We start from the raw sequence: 17,283 nt of genomic DNA, 5'->3' as shown, positions 1-17,283 counted from the left end.
ACAGACTGTTCCATGGGCCTGGTCTGAGGGAGTTTGGGACGGAAATAAGTGCAAGAAAACATTGTCTATGACCCCAGATCAAGTCCCCGATCTTGCTTGGTTCCATCCAAATAAGCGATTTTCATCAAAATGATGCTTCTCTTTTTCTTCTGTGCTTGCCTCCCAGTGAACACTCTAGGGTCACGGAAACGACTCCAGACTCTCTTACAATTGGCAATAAGACAAGTTAAATTACATGACTGTCTCAATCCCTTTCTGTAAACAGGGAAGAAACAGTACCAATATCATGAAGTTTCAAGTATCAAATGGAGCATGCAATGTGTTTATCACAGTATCTGGTATACAGCAATGGTAATTCCTTTCCTCTTTTCCTTCCAAATTATTGCTCCCTGGTCCCATCCTTCCAATGTGGCTCAATTATCGGGTTCTAGTCATTAAATGCTACTCTTCTACAATAAGCCACATACCAGGTCTGAGAAAGAGTCTGGATCAGATAAGAGTTCAGCACTGTAGTAGAAAACAGATTCTGGGTATCAGAGGATCTGGTCTCAAGTCCTGACTGTATTACCTATAGCTCTATGAATTTAACCTTGCTGAGCCTTAACTGCCTCATCTCTAAAATAGACTTAATACTTATTCCTATCTAATGGGATTATTATGAGGGTTAATTAAGCTAATAGACTTGAAATCATTTAGTGAACTGTAATGTAACAATAACAGTCACCATCATTAGCTTTCTCCTGGGTCATTTACAGACTTCCTATTTGGAAGACTTGACCTGCAAGAGATCACCAAGTCTCAATACTTAGGTGCAAAGGGGAACGGCTCAAAGCTAAAAAGAAATAAACTAGAGACAAATAAAATTAAAGCCTACTTAATGAACTACCCAGGACCTTTTAACGTTGAAGAGATGGTACAGGCTAAAGATATAAACAACCTTAACTGAGTTGGGCTACATTTTCAGATGAAAGATTCATGACAGTAGCGACAGCGTTTCACCATGTTGGCCAGGCTGGTCTCAAACTCCTAACCTTAAGTGATGCGCCCATCTCAGCCTCCCAAAGTGCTGGGATTACAGGTGTGAGCCACCGCACCTGGCCCAACTGCCACATTTTATAGAAGAGAAAAAATCTAGGGAATTTAAGTAACTTGCTCAATATCACTCAGCAAATCAGAGGAAGACCTGGGACTAGGACCCAGGTCCCCTGAGTCCACAGTGAGTGCTGCGTCCCCTAGTTATGCTCCTTCTCATATCACTAACTTCTGTCATAGCCTAAAATTAGGGAGGCCACAGCAGAGGTACAGAGCTACAGGAAGGCCTCTGGCTCCGCCTTGGACCAGACAATTCCTGGACAGAGACCTGTTTGAAGGGAAGGTCTGAATAAGCTTACCTGTTTCGCTGCTGCTGAGGCCAAATCACTCTGCTTCAAATACGAAGGGGCAGCTACATTCCACGACTTTTCCTGCAAGGCCTACACAGACAAATCAGGAGGGAACAGAATACCGACGTCACAAAGACTGGCATATCATTTGGAATTTACATTTTTGTTTTCCTTTGAAAGTCTACCATGAACAGGACTTCTCAATTAATCTTATTCTTTTAACCCAATAAGCTGTATCTATTATGGAGAAAGATGAGACTAATGGTTTGGGCTAAATGAATTCCCATCCATTTGATCCAATTCTTGGCCCAAAGGCTCTGTGTCCCAGATCAGTGCTTCTGGAAGCAGAGGACAGGAACCATGAAACCTTCACCAGAATGCGCAGGCAAGCCAGCTTCCTTCTGGGCTCTAGGCACTCCTTGTTCCCAGAGCCACTGGACTAACCCAAGCCACCTAGATACTTCTTCCTTGACTGTGGTTCTTTTTTCTTTTCCCCTATGCTCATTATGTTATAAGCCCCAACCACTTTACCAACATATTCAACTAGAAATCAAGCAGCTTTCCTAGATTTCTCCCTCTTTCAATCTTCTACATTCAAAACCACCACTAAGAGCCACGATTTTACCTTCCATCTCTCTCCTCACCTATCCATCCACATGACCTCATCTCTTGCACAAACTTCTGTGACAGCCTCTTATTTTCTCAGTCCTTCTGAATTACAGATGTAATCAAATGACATTACAGAAAACCTAGACTAACACTGTCCAATAGAAATATAACATGAGCTATATATAATTTTAAATATTCTCATAGCCACAGTTTTTAAATTACAAAGATGTAAGTTAATTTTGAAGATACAAAGACTAATTTTTTAAAAAAGTTTATTTAACCCAGTATATCCAAGATATTAACATTTCACCACGCAGTATTTTTTAAATTATTAATTAGATAGTTTACATTTTCTTTTCATACTAAGTCTGAGAAATCCAGTGTGTATTTTGCACTTAATAACACATCTCAGTTTGGACTAACAACTTTTCAAGTGCTCAAGAGTCCCATGTATCTGGTGGCTATCAAACAGTGGTAGGTCTCAACTACAGATAAACTATAGGAATTTCTGGAATATTTACTTCTAATCATTTCTTCTATGCATGTTTTTTGACAGTTGTAGTCAGAAAGCAGAATTAAGTTTGGGGATTAGATCATAATCCCAAAACATACAATCACAAATGTTGAAATCCTGACATCCAAATTCTGGGGAAGTGATTAGTGTGTTTTGGCTTGCATGCAGGATAGTTGCATCATGTCAGTTGTATCATGTTAGGCACAACTATTACCATGTTATTGTCTTTATTTGGAAATTAAATATGGCTTAAGGAGATGCGTATGAGTGCCAAGCTGACAAGGGGTGGACTTGTGGACCTAATTTTAGGTATCAGCTTGACCAGATTAAGGAATATCAGAAACCTGGTAAAACATTATTTTGTTTTACACATTGAGGGTGTGTCTATGAGAGTGTTTCCGAAGAGATTAGTGTATAAATCTGAGTGTACTAGGTGGAGACTATCTGCCCTCAATGTTGGCGGGCACCATCCAATCAGCCAGTGGCCAGGAGAGAACAAATACTTAAGACAAAATGGGCTGGGATCGGTGGCTCATGCCTGTAATCCTAGCACTTTGGAAGGTCGAGGTGGGTGGATGACCTGAGGTCAGGGGTTCGAGACCAGCCTGACCAACATGGCAAAACCCTGTCTCTGCTAAAAATACAAAAATTAGCCAGGCGTGGTGGTGCACACCTGTAATCCCAGCTACTTGGGAGGCTGAGACAGGAGAATTGCTTGAACCCAAGAGGCAGAGGTCGCAGCAGTGAGCCAAGATCAAGCCACTGTATTCAGCCTGGGTGATAAGCTGAGACTCTGTCTCAAAAAAAAAAAAAAAAAAAAAAAACGCAAAATAGCAAAACGGACTCTCTGGGTTCTGCTGCTTGGATATCAGAAATCTGACTCCATGAAAGTGCATTATCACAATACTGACTTTGTGTATAAGCATTGAGTGTGTACATAAAATGTTGAAACTTCCTCGATAAATGAGATATCCTTTTCGTACATCTGCATTTGTGAAAGATAAAATTTCTTGAGATCTCAGCTCTTTGGGTGACTGCATATGCAGTGGTGACCCAGCACAGTTTCCATCAATCTCATCAAAAGACTTGAGGTTGTTGGGCACAGTATTTCAGATGACCAGAGTTAAAAAGCTGGGTATACACAATTAACAACCAAAGGGATATGCATTTATACCTTTCCCTTTATGACCAATTTCTTTATAAATATGGCTCATCTGCTCATAACTGTTAGACCCACCCAAATGTTATTAGTAACCTGAGTGTTTATGCTTGCAAAAATGTATGTTATTATTGTCTGTTTTATTATATTAAGTGGTGTATAAAGTATTCTGTTGTGTTTTTATGTTTCTCAAATAAGTTCCCCTTTAAAAAATAAATATCTTTAAGTTTTTAAAACTATTTCTTCCATAATTATATTTTGGGGATTTTGATATTTTCTGGGCTGTGGTTTTCGGATTTTAGACTTTAGGGATTTTAGTCTTTTGGAATTTAAACAGTTTAGGACTATGATGTTCTGGACTATCTTTTGGGATTATGATTGGCTCCCCTTCTTTTCGGTACATAACATTACACCCTAAGTATTTTGTCATGTTGTTGTATAATTCTTCATAAAGAATTAATGACTGCAGAATATACTGCTAGGTAGCTGTACCAAAAGTTATTTAGCTTTTTTCCTGTTATTAAACACACTTGCCTTGGGTTCTGGCTCTGGGCCCCTTACCTACACTGTCACTCCTTGTCATTGAATAACCAACAATTATGTGTTCTTTTTAGGAGTAATCACTTCTCTTTCCTCACCATATTTTGCTACTATAGAAAAGTGGATTCTTCTCCATGGCCTCCTTGAATTCCTGGGGTTTCACAGAGGCTTGGAAAAGCCAAACAACTTTGCAAAGGGGCAAGAAGGAACTTCTTGGAGTGATGAAAATGTTCTATGACTTTAAAGAACAGATGTTCTTTAAAAAAAAATTTAGTTTTTTTGAATAGTTAATACATACTTAAGGTATAGCATTCAAAGGATATACAATTAAATTAAATTAAATTAGTCCCCCTTCCTACGCCTGTGCCCTGTAGCCCTGCCACCCTGTATACCTTCCCAGAGGCAACTACTATTACCAGTTTCTTTTGAATTTTGAGATATGCCATGCATTTACAAAAAGTACTGGTTTTCTTTGCTTTCTTCTTTTTTAGGGGAGGAATGTGAGTGTGTGTGTGTTTGTGTATTACCTAACCATCTCAGCATTCATAGAAAGCTGCCTCATTACTTTTTAATAGCAACATTAAATTCTGAATAGAAATGGAAACTGTGGGAAACCTTAAGGTCTGAGTCACTTGGGAAGCTGTCTGTTTCAGAGCCGGCATAACACATCAGGTTTCACAGTAGCCTGGAAAAAACTGTCCACTGGACTATGCCACTTCCTCCCATCTCATGCTTGGTGGGTAACGTTATGATAGTTAACGATGCCTCCTGGGGACTTTGACATCAAGAAGGAGATGCCTACAAAGGGGCAAAGAGTAAATTACTCTCAAAGTGATTGAAGAATTAATGTATGATATATATCACTTCTTATTCATTTGGGTTGCTTGAACTGGTCCTGGAGGGCCTACCCAAAGCATGGGAACCCAGCACAATGAAAGCCAAGACCATAGACTAGCTAAGCCCAACTGTGAAGTATGAGTTTGGTGGCCAGATGGTCTCTTCCTTTCACTTCTCTGATTTTTCTCTTGTAAGAGACAGCCCTGAAGTATTCTACTTCAGAAGCATTTGTGTTTCCTCTCCAGGAAGATTCTGCCTTCTACGACAATTATACAGAATACAGACCAACTGACTGTACATTAACTAACTGATTCCAAATGTTATTTTATTCCCCTGCCCCAGAATTGTAGCAGTTGTTCTGAAGTGCACAGAACAAGATGTAACCCAATCCAACACAATTAGCCATAAGAAATCTGAACTTCTGTACAAACAAAAATGGAAACTTGTTAGCTCTGGGAAAAATCCTGTGTCCCAGTGTTTCCTCTCTTTGTCACTTTATGCTCACAATTCTTAGGAAGCCTCAGTCTAGACATCCATCAGGAGACTACGGGCTCTAATGAGAAAGGTACACTGAGCACATTCTATGTGCACTGTACTGTGCTAGCTGTTTCCTTACTTGAGCTCACTTAATCCTCACAATATGAATTGCAATTAATCCTATTTCACTGAACAGGAAACTAAAGATCAGAATTTAAGTGGCTTGCCTAAGGTCACAGAATAAACAACAAAACGACATGAACTAGACAGAGTCAGCTCTGACTCCAAAAGTATTTTTTTAACCATATCATATTGCATCTCATTTATTTATTTGCTATTAAACTCTTTTCATTTATTTATTAATTACATCAAACACAGATGAGACCAAAACTAATTTAAAACTAGATACGGCTAGGCGCGGTGGCTCACACCTGTAATCCTAGCACTTTAGGAGGCCAAGGTGGGTGGATTGCCTGAGCTCAGGAGTTCGAGACCAGCCTGGGCAACACAGTGAAACCCCATCTCTACTAAAATACAAAAAATTAGCCAGGCCTGGTGGAGCGCGCCTGTAGTCCCAGCTATTCGGGATGCTGGGGCAGGAGAATTGCTTGAACCTCGGAGGCAGAGGTTGCCGTGAACCGAGATCGCACCACTGCACTCCAGCCTGAACGACAGAGGGAGACTCCATCTCCAAAAAAAAAAACAACAACTGGATACACTGGGCCACTTTTCTTTAGATGCTATCAGGCAGAGCAAAACAGTTCCTCCCAGGAACACACACATTAGCAATCTATATGATGCCACTATGCCACTATGTGTAAACACATTTACATAGAGTGATTCTTTTTAAGCTTACACAATAGGCTGAATTAATTATTTAAATCACTATTAAAGATAGTCAAAAAGATTCTGGATGTGCAAATCAAATGCAGTTTATTTTTTTCAATCTCTTAGAATCTCTAAAAATCAAATTTATAATTATGTCTCTTAGTAGCTTAGTAGAGCAAAAAGGAATGTTAGGAAATACAAAATAAATACAAAGTCTTGGTGACTTCTAAAACGCCATCTTTATTCCTGCACCTAGATGATGACAGATTACAAACGTGTATTTCTACTCTTTAATTACTAGACCAGTTCCAATACTACACAATAGGCACTCTCCCTAAAGACAATAAAAGTTTCAAAGCAAAAAGAGGATTTTAAAGAATTCAACTAAAAAATCCCATGTTCTTCAATGGTTAGTGTGTAAAAGAATTCCCATAAGAAAAGTAGTACATTTCTTTCTATCTCTGATAAATGAAGCCCCTTCTGTTTCAGGTTATAATGAGCTATTTTACTCCAAAAGAACAATTCTCTATTATGGAACACTTCTAAGGTGATATGGTTCCTGAAACAACAGTGTGTATAGCAACAGCACTTTCATGGACTTAACACAAAAATGTAAACTTTGAAAAACAGGAGGTCACTATTCATACTGAGAAATAGCAGACAAATGACTGCAGCATTCCTTAAAAGACAATCCCCTTCAACCCTGCTAGTGAGTTTAAACATGATTACATTTATAAAATTTGATTTAGTTACAAAATGTCAAGAGCATGTCCAGTATGTTAAATAAACCATAGTTAGTTTAAATTTTTTTTTTTTTTTTTTTGAGATGGAGTCTCGCTCTGTCGCCCAGGCTGCAGTGCAGTGGTGTGATCTCTGCTCACCACAAGCTCTGCCTCCCAGGTTCGCACCATTCTCCTGCCTCAGCCTCCCGAGTAGCTGGGACCACAGGCGCCCGCCACCACGCCTGGCTAATTTTTTGTATTTTTAGTAGAGACAGGGTTTCATCGTGTTAGCCAGGATGGTCTCCATCTCCTGAGTTCGTGATCCGCCCACCTCGGCCTCCCAAAGTGCTGGGATTACAGGCGTGAGCCACCGCGCCCGGCCAGTTAGTTTAAATTTTAAAGCAAACAGCCATAAATGTCCAACTATTATCTATGTAACTGATATTCTCAAAATGCTTTTACCACATATCATTACAATCATCTTCACAACAATTCTACAGGTGCAAGCCACAGCATCTGGCTCATAGGTGAGCTCTTCATTGGGTTAAATGGCTGTTTGGATTACAAAACAGGGCACTGTGTATGACAGTGAAATTTGTTTTACACTCATACTAACAAATACATGGCTCCAGTCCTCATCAGAGAACCTTCTGTATGAAAGGCTAACATTTCACTCCATAACAACTCAGAAAGTGTAAGTTGTGGAGAACCCCAGGGGTCAACTGATCTAATCTCATGTGATACAGGAATCCCCTGTAAATCACTGCACATCACAGAATATGGATTTTAGAGTTGACAAAGCTGAACTCAAATCCTCGTTCTGCCTCTTCTTAGCAAATTACTTCATGTCTGCAATGATGGTTGTAAAGCGTCGCAGGTGCCCGCACTGCTATGGTCCATCTGCTTCCCTTTCCAGATTTTTCACCATTCTGCCTGTGCTCCTGAATACACACTCAAGCTAGAAACACAGAGCCCCGAACTTAGGACAGTGATCTGGCCGGCCACTGCCTAGCAAGACTATCATCTCAGGAAACCCAGACCATGAAGGCGAGTACCTTCTAAGAGCCAGCACTGCAGCTGATCACCAAATTGGCTAGCTTTTGTGCCTTTTGCACTTGCTTTAGTGCCAACAGGATAAAACTGTCAAGGACAAAATCTAAATGTTTATTTACGTGGGGATGAGTCAGGAAGTAGACTTTATTTTACTGGGCTCAGGGCCAACAACCTCATTCAGTGGCCTCCAAAACTAAACACTTTGTTGAGGGAGAAGAGAAATCGCTCCACAAGAGATATAGAAAGGACTGGAATCTCCGCTTACAGAGCTGTGGACTGCCCAGAACTTACAGCAGGGTCAGCAAATTTTTTCTGTAAAAGGTAAAATAGTAACTTTATGGTCTCTGTGGCAACTACTCAGCTCTGTGATTGTAGCATGAAAGCAACTATAGACAATACCTAAACAAATGAGCGTGGCTGTGCTTCAATCAGATCTTACATACAAAAGCAGGCAACAGGCCAGCTTTGGTCCACAGGCTGTAGTTTGGTGACTCCTAGTTGAGAGTACTGTTACTGGCACATCACAGGCACACAATAAACATCAAGTATATGATTCAATGTACGGTGGCAAGAGAACAAACTGTCATGCTAAAATCATTTCAACCTTAAAAATAATTCAGTTTTCCCTATCTTTTATTGTTACTGATTACAGTGATGGTATTCAGGTGGACACTCTGCCATTTGGAATATCATTTAGGCTTAGCCTGTGCAGCTGATGCAGCTTCTTCACACCACACAGCCATCTTTGACATATTTCAACTTGTTAATGATTCATGTTCGCAGCCCTTTTGGCTGATGCTATCACTGCAAAGCAGTGATATGTGTGAGTCCATTCATTACGGTAACAAGCTTTCACTCAAGCTTTGTTTCTTGCAGTATCTATCATTTCTAGTGTGATCTCCTCCACTGATTTTTTTTTTTTTTTTTTTTGAGACGGAGTCTCGCTCTGTCGCCCAGGCCAGACTGCGGACTGCAGTGGCGCAATCTCGGCTCACTGCAAGCTCCGCTTCCCGGGTTCACGCCATTCTCCTGCCTCAGCCTCCCGAGTAGCTGGGACTACAGGCGCCCGCCACCGCGCCCGGCTAATTTTTTGTATTTTTAGTAGAGACGGGGTTTCACCTTGTTAGCCAGGATGGTCTCGATCTCCTGACCTCATGATCCACCCGCCTCGGCCTCCCAAAGTGCTGGGATTACAGGCGTGAGCCACCGCGCCCGGCCTCCTCCACTGATTTTTAAAAATCCAGTCAACAGTAGGATTTTCTTGTTGAACTGTGAAGGCCTGTGCTCGGTAGGGACTTTGTGAATCATCCCTGTTTGGGTCCCAGAGCCACTGGAGGGCCCATCACTGGAGTGGCTGGTGAGACACTCCAGGGCATGAGAGTTGCTATGGGCCTCTGTGTGGCTTCTAGAGGCTTCCCAGGGGCACAAAGACTATGTGACCCAGGTGGAAGCTCGGGAGGCTCACGCTGGACACATGCTGCACACTCTGGCTCCCCTGTGGCTGCAGCTGCACCCACCTACCCAGCATTCTCCCCACGACCTGTCCAGCCCAAGCCCACGGCACTCCCAGGGGAGCCCAGGACACCCTCAACTTTTTAGTGGATTACTAGAGTATCAGACCACCCATTTATCTCTCAGTTCCTCACTCCCACCCCTGCACCCAGCAAGTCACCAAGTCCCCCAGGTGAGTAAACTGGAGCTAACAGCAGTTGGTACTTACGGCATATACTGGATTTGGCTCACTCACACGTGGTATTCCTATCTTCATCTACTGTATCTTCCTGGACTACATAAGCTGCAAAGTTAAAAACTGCATTTCTCAGATTCCCTTGAGCTAGGTTCCAGACGTGATTTATTATCAGTCAATCAAACACATTCGCATGAGTTTTGTATAGGGAACAATGTTAAGTCGGAAGAAAGGCAGAATGCAAGACACGGTTCTGGAGCCAGCAGCTTTATTGGTAGCATCCTGACTCAATAGGCAGCTTTCCTGATAATAGCAGGAACATCAGCCTCCTTGGTGGCCCACTCATTGTGTGGCTCTGGAAATCATTCCTGGATATTCCACCTAGTCTGTTTCTTTAGCCTTCCCAACAACTCTGTGAGCCATGTAACATTCTGTAATAAATTTCTTTCTGCTTAAATTAGTTAAAAGCCTCTTTTGTTTTCTGCAAATGAACCCTGAGCAATAAACTTGACTAAGATCAAACAACTACAAGTCATGCGTTGTTTAACGATGGAGATACATTCTGAGACATACGCTGTTATGTGATTTTGTCTCACAAACATCATAGAGTATATTTACACAAATCCAAATGGTATAGCCTACTACACACCTAGGCTATATGGGATAGTCTGTTGCTCCTAGGCTACAAATCTGTACAGCATGTTACTGTACTAAAGACTGTAGGCAACTGTAACACTGGTTACAATGGTAAATATTGGTAAATATGGTAAACAATGGTAAATATCTGTATATCTAAACATAAAAAAGGTACAGTAAAAATATAATCATGGGACCACCACAACGTTGTTATTTAGTGCATGACTGTATTAGCTCAGACGTTAACCAAAATGAGTCTGCCTTCAAAGCTCCATTCACTCAATCTCTATACTACACCACTGCAGTTCTGGGAGGCTGTTCTCCCTCAGGTCTCCCAGCTCTTCTAATGTCTGCTGAAGTTGGAATTCTCTTCTGCATATGGACTACGAAACTGACATGCTCAGTTATCATTTCATACTAGCTAAAGGATCTTCTCCTTTGTGAAGCATCCCTCACCACTACTACTGTGATGGGTCAGGGCCTTTCATCTGTTTTTCCACAGCATCTATGCTTCTCTTCACTGTATCATTTATCAAATTGATGATTTCTGCGTCCTGTAATAAACAGTGAGTACCTTAAGAACAAATGTCATTTCTTATTTCTCTCTACCCTCAGCAACTGGCTTATTAGAATAAACAAATAGTTAATGCTGCTAAGTGAATGAATGACCTAATGTAATGGGAAAACATAACTTGGAGGATGGTTCAGTTGGCCAGCTTTATAACATGTTAAGATGCAATAATGGACAGGAAAGCATGAACAAAGTACAAAGCGCTGTTATCCACCATCATAAGTCTTTGTCTATATCCATCTTGTCTACATGGGCTCTCTAAGGGCAGAATCCTAGCTAGCTGATCTGTATCTAGCACAGAGCTTGTTTCTTAGTGTATGGAATGAAATCATCCACTAAAAATTATTAGTTGAATGTGGCTGGTGCCAAATACTCTTCCGGGCAGATCAAAAGAGATCTCAACCAAGATACAAATGATATAATATAATATTTTTCTTTCTTTCTTTTTTGTTTTGAGATGGAGTCTCACTCTGTTGCCCAGACTGGAGTACAGTGGCGTGATCTTGGCTCACTGCAAGCTCCGCCTCCCGAGTTCAAGCGATTCTTGTGCCTCAATCTCCCAAGTAGCTGGGATTACAGGCTACTATTTTTAGTAGAGACGGGGTTTCACTCAGTGGGGCTGGTCTTGAACTCCTAGCCTCAAGTGATCCTCCCGCCTCGGTCTCCCAAAGTGCTGGGATTACAGGCATGAGCCACTGCACCTGGCCGATATAATATTTTTCTCTTTTAAGAGCAAACAATAAAGAATTTAAACTCATTTGCTTTTAGCAAAAGCAGTACTGTTTGCTCTTAAAATACATGATTTTTTAATCTTTTAAGAGCAAACAATACTGCTTTTGCTAAAAGCAAATGAGTTTAAATTCTTTTCATATCATTCAGGCCATTTTGAGGAAGGTCTGGCAGAGCCTTTTGGTTGTTCCCCAATATCTTTCTCCCATTCTTCCTGAGTATTAGAGTCATCGCATGTAAACCAGGCATTAGTCACCCAGAATAAAGACTGCATGTCCTCGCTCCTTGAAGTGAGAGATGGCCATGTGACTTAAGTTCTAGTCAATGGAATGCAAGTAAAATTAGAGTGTACAACTTTTGGGAAGTGTCTTTAAACAAACCACAGGGTGGAGATGATACCTTTCTCTCCCCGTTTCCTTTTCCCCACAGGATGGAATACAGGGGGGACAGTTAGATTCTGAATTGTTAAGCAGAGCTGCTTGATGCAGAAGATGAAGACACAAGAAAGAATGAGCCTAGGCCGGGCACAGTGGCTCACGCCTGTAATTCCAGCACTTTGGGAGGCCGAGGCGGGAGGATCACTTGAGCTCAGGAGTTTGAGACTGGCCTGGCCACCATGGTGAAACCTCAACTCTACAAAAAAAAAAAAAAAGCCAAAATTAGCCGGGTGTGGTGGCATATGCCTGTGGTCCCAGCTACTTGGGAGGCTGAAGTGGGAGAATCACTTGAGCCCAGGAGGCTGCAGTTGCAGTGAGCTGATATTATGCCACTGCACTCCAGCCTGGGTGACAGGGTGAGACCCTGTCTCAAAAAAAAAAAAAAAAGAATGAGCAAGCCTAGATCCTTGATGGTCATCTCAGCCCTGTCCTGCCTATGAGGAAGAATTAAACTTTGCTCCTGTTTTAGCCACTGTTACTTTGCATTTTGGTCACTCATCCTAATATATAAAATTAAAAAACTAAAAACAGGTTCTTTGTAACTATTTCTGTTGTGTACTAATCATCAATCGAGTCATGAATATAAAGAGCTCTTTTAAAAAATATGTTCAAACCACAATCTAATCCAAATATAAACAGACCATAAAACCGTGTGTGAATGTAGACCAATAGAGTCAGAATATCAAGCCTAGTAACCAACACCAGAATTCAGAACAGTCAAGCTGAGTGTAACGGCACTAACTCTGTCAGATGAAGGGATGATTACCCTACCTGATGGTGAATTCCAGCAGCTCCTGGGCTCCCTGAGGGTCCAAGTGCTGAAGACTACACACTCCTTCAAGGCTCTGCTGCAGGAGCTGCTGCGAAGGATCCTCTTGAGGTATGATGCTGGGAGAAACAGCTGATGACACCAGTTTTCTACCTGGCAACTAAGCAAACACAGTGGGATTATAGAGTCATTAAGTTTGGTGGCTCAGCTTTTGGTAACACACACACAAACACATAAAAGCACATTAAAAATGTGAGCTAAACAAAACAAAGGGGAAAAAAGGCTAGGAGATTCTATAAATAACATTTCTCCCCTTCCTCAGCAACAATTGGGAGTTAAAGAGAAAGAGACAAAATGCAAACATGGTCTACCCAATACAGCCACAGCTGCCAGGAGAAAAACAGAAAAGGTATAATATTTTCTATTGTTAACTGAAATAAATGGGCCAACCATAGGAAGGAGACTAAAAATTAAACTGTTGCTACATCTTTTTTTTTTTAGACAGAGTTTCACTCTTGTTGCCTAGAGTGCAATGGTACCATCTCGGCTCACTGCAAACTCCACCTCCCAGGTTCAAGCGATTCTCTTGCCTCAGCCTCCTGAGTAGCTGGGATTAGAGGTGGCCGCCCCCAGACCCAGCTAATTTTGTATTTTTAGTAGAGACAGGGTTTCTCCATGTTGGTCAGGCTGGTCTCGAACTCCTGACCACAGGTGATCCGCCTGCCTCAGCCACCCAGACTGCTGGGATTACAGGCGTGAGCCACTGCACCCGGCCACATTTATCTTTAAAACACTATCTTATCTTTCACTTGAAGGAAGAGTAATGATTTATTCCCAAATAAACTTATATAGCATACAATTTTTTCATGAGAATAATTTTTTTTTATTTTTGGCCTAGCCCTTCAGATATACTTATTCTTACTGTTAAAAGTGGTTACCTTTTAAGATGGATGGGGAGGAGAGAGCAAAGAGTATTTCATTTTTCATTTTGTATCTACTTGTTTTTTGTTTTTTTTTGAGATGGAGTCTCACTCTGTCGCTCAGGCTGGAGTGCAGTGGCACAACCTTGGCTCATTGCAACCTCTGCCTCCTGGGTTCAAGCAATTCTCTTGCCACAGCTTCCCGAGTAGCTGGGACTACAGGTGCCCAACACCATGTCCAGTTAATTTTTGTATTTTTAGTAGAGATGAGGTTTCACCATGTTGGCCAGGCTGGTCGTGAACTCCTGTCCTCAGATGATCCACCCGCCTCAGCCTCCCAAAATGCTTAGATTACAGGCATGAGCCACCGCACCTGGCCTCATTTTGTATATTACTCCAAATAAAGTGATTTGGAGTCACCCAAGCAGGGATGAGTTAATGCAAATAGAGAGATTGGAAGAGTACCTGGGCCACAGCATTCACAAAGTCTTTGCTATTATTATTATGATCCATTTTTAAATTTTCTTCTTTATATCTCTAGGTTTTAAAAATAGTAAAGGTTTTATTTTTAAAAAATAAGCACTTGTGGGCCGGGCGCGGTGGCTCACGCCTGTAATCCCAGCACTTTGGGAGGCCGAGGCGGGTGGATCACGAGGTCAGGAGATCGAGACCATCCCGGCTAAAACGGTGAAACCCCGTCTCTACTAAAAATACAAAAAATTAGCCGGGCGTAGTGGCGGGCGCCTGTAGTCCCAGCTACTTGGGAGGCTGAGGCAGGAGAATGGCGTGAACCCGGGAGGCGGAGCTTGCAGTGAGCCGAGATCCCGCCACTGCACTCCAGCCTGGGCGACAGAGCGAGACTACGTCTCAAAAAAAAAAAAAAAAAAAAAAATAAGCACTTGTGGAGAATCATGGCTATATGTAATAGTTAAAATATAACAATTTAGGCTGGGTGTGGTGGCTCACACCTGTAATCCCAGCACTTTGGGAGGCCGAGGCAGGCAGATCACGAGGTCAGGAGATCAAGACCATCCTGGCTAACACGGCGAAACCCCGTCTCTACTAAAAAATACAAAAAATTAGCCGGGTGTGGTGGCAGGTGCCTGTAGTCCCAGCTACTCGGGAGGCTGAGGCAGGAGAATGGAGTGAACCTGGGAGGCAGAGCTTGCAGTGAGCCGAGATCGCGCCACTGCACTTCAGCCTGGGTGACACAGCGAGACTTCGTCTCAAAAGGTAATAATAATAAAAAAAATATATATATATATAACAATTTAAATTCTTGATCTAAAATATAATCTATTGTTCCAGGTTCCTTTCTTCTTGCCTAATATCAATAATCCAGGGACACCAAAAAAAATGAATCATCTTAAAAGGTAAAGGATACAAAAGCAAAAGTATAAAACAATGGCAAAGAGCCCAAGAGAGAAGGAGAATGAACAAACAAGTTTTCAGAGAATATATGGACTGCTTTCTACTATTTAATAACCACAAAGCACAAAAAATAAAAAGCCAAAAACAAGCTGCACACAGTGGTGCTCACCTGTAATCACAGCGACTTGGGAGGCTGAGCCAGGAGGATGGCTTAAGCCCAGGAGTTTGAGACCCCTCTGGGCAACATAACAAGACCCCCATCTCAAAGGAAAACATGAACACAAATACCCCTACCCCGTGCAAAATAAAAACAAGGACAACAGATGTTTTCAACATACCCTCAAGGCAGGAACAAGATGAGAAAGACTGTCTCGGAGGTAGGCATAGTGCCTGAGAACAATGCTCGCATTGTTGGACAGGTTTTAGCAGCATTGAAAATAAGTACCAAAACTGCAATATCTGATAGATCACTGGGTTAAGTAAACTTGGAAGTATAAAAGGTTGGCCAGATTCTGGCACTCTCACTTTCCACCTCCAAAATCTCCATCAAGAGACTATGATTTTCTAATAATCAAAGAAATGCAAATACAAACAACAAAATACATTCCCCTACTCCACCCACACCCCCAATTACCAAAGGTTTTTAAAAATGCCAGAGACTGCCAAGAATACAAGAAAATGGAAATGATTTTGCCTATAAAGTAAGCAACTATATTGCCTAGCCTATCAAAGTACATACTGGCCAGGCATGGTGGCTCACGCCTGTAATACCAACACTTTGGGAGGCTGAGGCGGGTGGATCAGTTGAGGTCAGGAGTTTGAGACCAGCCTGGGCAACAAGGTAAAACCCCGTCTCTACTAAAAATACAAAAATTAGCCGGGAGTGGTGGCAGGCACCTGTAATCCCAGCTACTTGGGAGGCTGAGGCAGGAGAATCATTTGAATCTGGGAGGCGGAGGTTGCAGTGAGCTGGGGTGGTGCCACTGCACTCCAGCCCAAGCAACAGGTTAGGAATTTGAGACCAGCCTGGCCAACATGGTGATACCCTGTCTCTACTAAAAATACAAAAATTAGCTGGGTGTGGTAGCGGGCACCTATAATCCCAGCTACTCAGGAGGCTGAGGCTGGAGAATTGCTTGAACCCGGGAGGCAGAGGTTTCAGTGAGCCGAGATCAGGCCACTGCACTCCAGCCTGGGTGACAGAATGAGACTCTGTCTTCAAAAAAAAAAAAAGGAAAGAAAAGCAAAGAAAAGAAAACTCAGACCACCCTAGCTACACTGCAGAAGGAGATGCCAAAGCTGCCTGCCAACACATCAGGGCCCATCCTAAGCACAGAGGATACAAGCTGGATCATCCATGTCTGGTTCAGCTGTGTCAAAAAATGGGTGGGTGCTCAGAAGCTCTGGCACCAAGGGAAGCACCAGGGTTGGATGCCGACTTCCCAGAAACTTCAAGCACCTGAAACAAACAAATAAGAATGCACATCAACAAATTAGTAAAGTTAGTCCTTTGAAAAGTACTAGGAACTGGAATCAGAAAACCTGAACTGGAATTGGAAATTCTCAACCATATACTTTTGCTAACTCTATGACTTCAGATAAGTCACCCAGTTATTCTGGAACTTGGTTAATTCATCTAAAAAAACTGGTTATTATAAAGATAAAAGAACTGTTTATTTAACCAACAGCCATTTCCCCCATCTTTCTTCCTGAGAGAGCCCTGATTTTACTCAGGTATCAGGCAGGCAGCAAAGTGCTCGGAAAAGGCAGGTCCAGCCCAAGAGCTGAACCACTATTGGTCTAAACCCATCATGGCAATCCCATTCCCATTTTCCAGTGACTGGTTTGCTGGTACGCAAGTAAGCCAGTTCTAGACAATGGAGCACGAGACTATGCTGGCTGGGGAGCTTCTCAGGGATGTTTTTGCAAATCAAAAGAGCAATGCATGAAAGGGAATGACCCTTCCTTTCTGTCTTGAGATATTATCTTATGAGGCAGCCATCTTACAACCATGAGAAGAAAGCCGGCCGGGTGCGGTGCCT

The 17,283-nt window shown here is 42.1% G+C and overlaps 1 pseudogene across 2 annotated transcripts in view; it reads right to left on the bottom strand.

Moving 5' to 3' along the window:
• The window catches only part of INTS4P1 (integrator complex subunit 4 pseudogene 1), a 93,193-nt pseudogene that overhangs the window by 32,133 nt on the left and 43,777 nt on the right, over positions 1 to 17,283 (bottom strand). For both annotated transcript variants that reach the window (NR_146906.1, NR_146905.1), the window contains 4 exons: positions 16,585 to 16,700; positions 15,580 to 15,700; positions 12,953 to 13,110; positions 1,392 to 1,472 (listed from right to left, as the gene is read on the bottom strand). The product of NR_146906.1 is annotated as an integrator complex subunit 4 pseudogene 1, transcript variant 2 (transcript). The remainder of the gene's footprint in view (positions 1 to 1,391; positions 1,473 to 12,952; positions 13,111 to 15,579; positions 15,701 to 16,584; positions 16,701 to 17,283) is intronic.

The sequence above is a fragment of the Homo sapiens genome, chromosome 7 (assembly GCF_000001405.40).
Source record: "Homo sapiens chromosome 7, GRCh38.p14 Primary Assembly".
NCBI classification, from domain to species: domain Eukaryota; kingdom Metazoa; phylum Chordata; class Mammalia; order Primates; family Hominidae; genus Homo; species Homo sapiens.
Note: the sequence above shows the minus strand (reverse complement) of the source record. Positions and strands in the feature narration are given on the sequence as shown.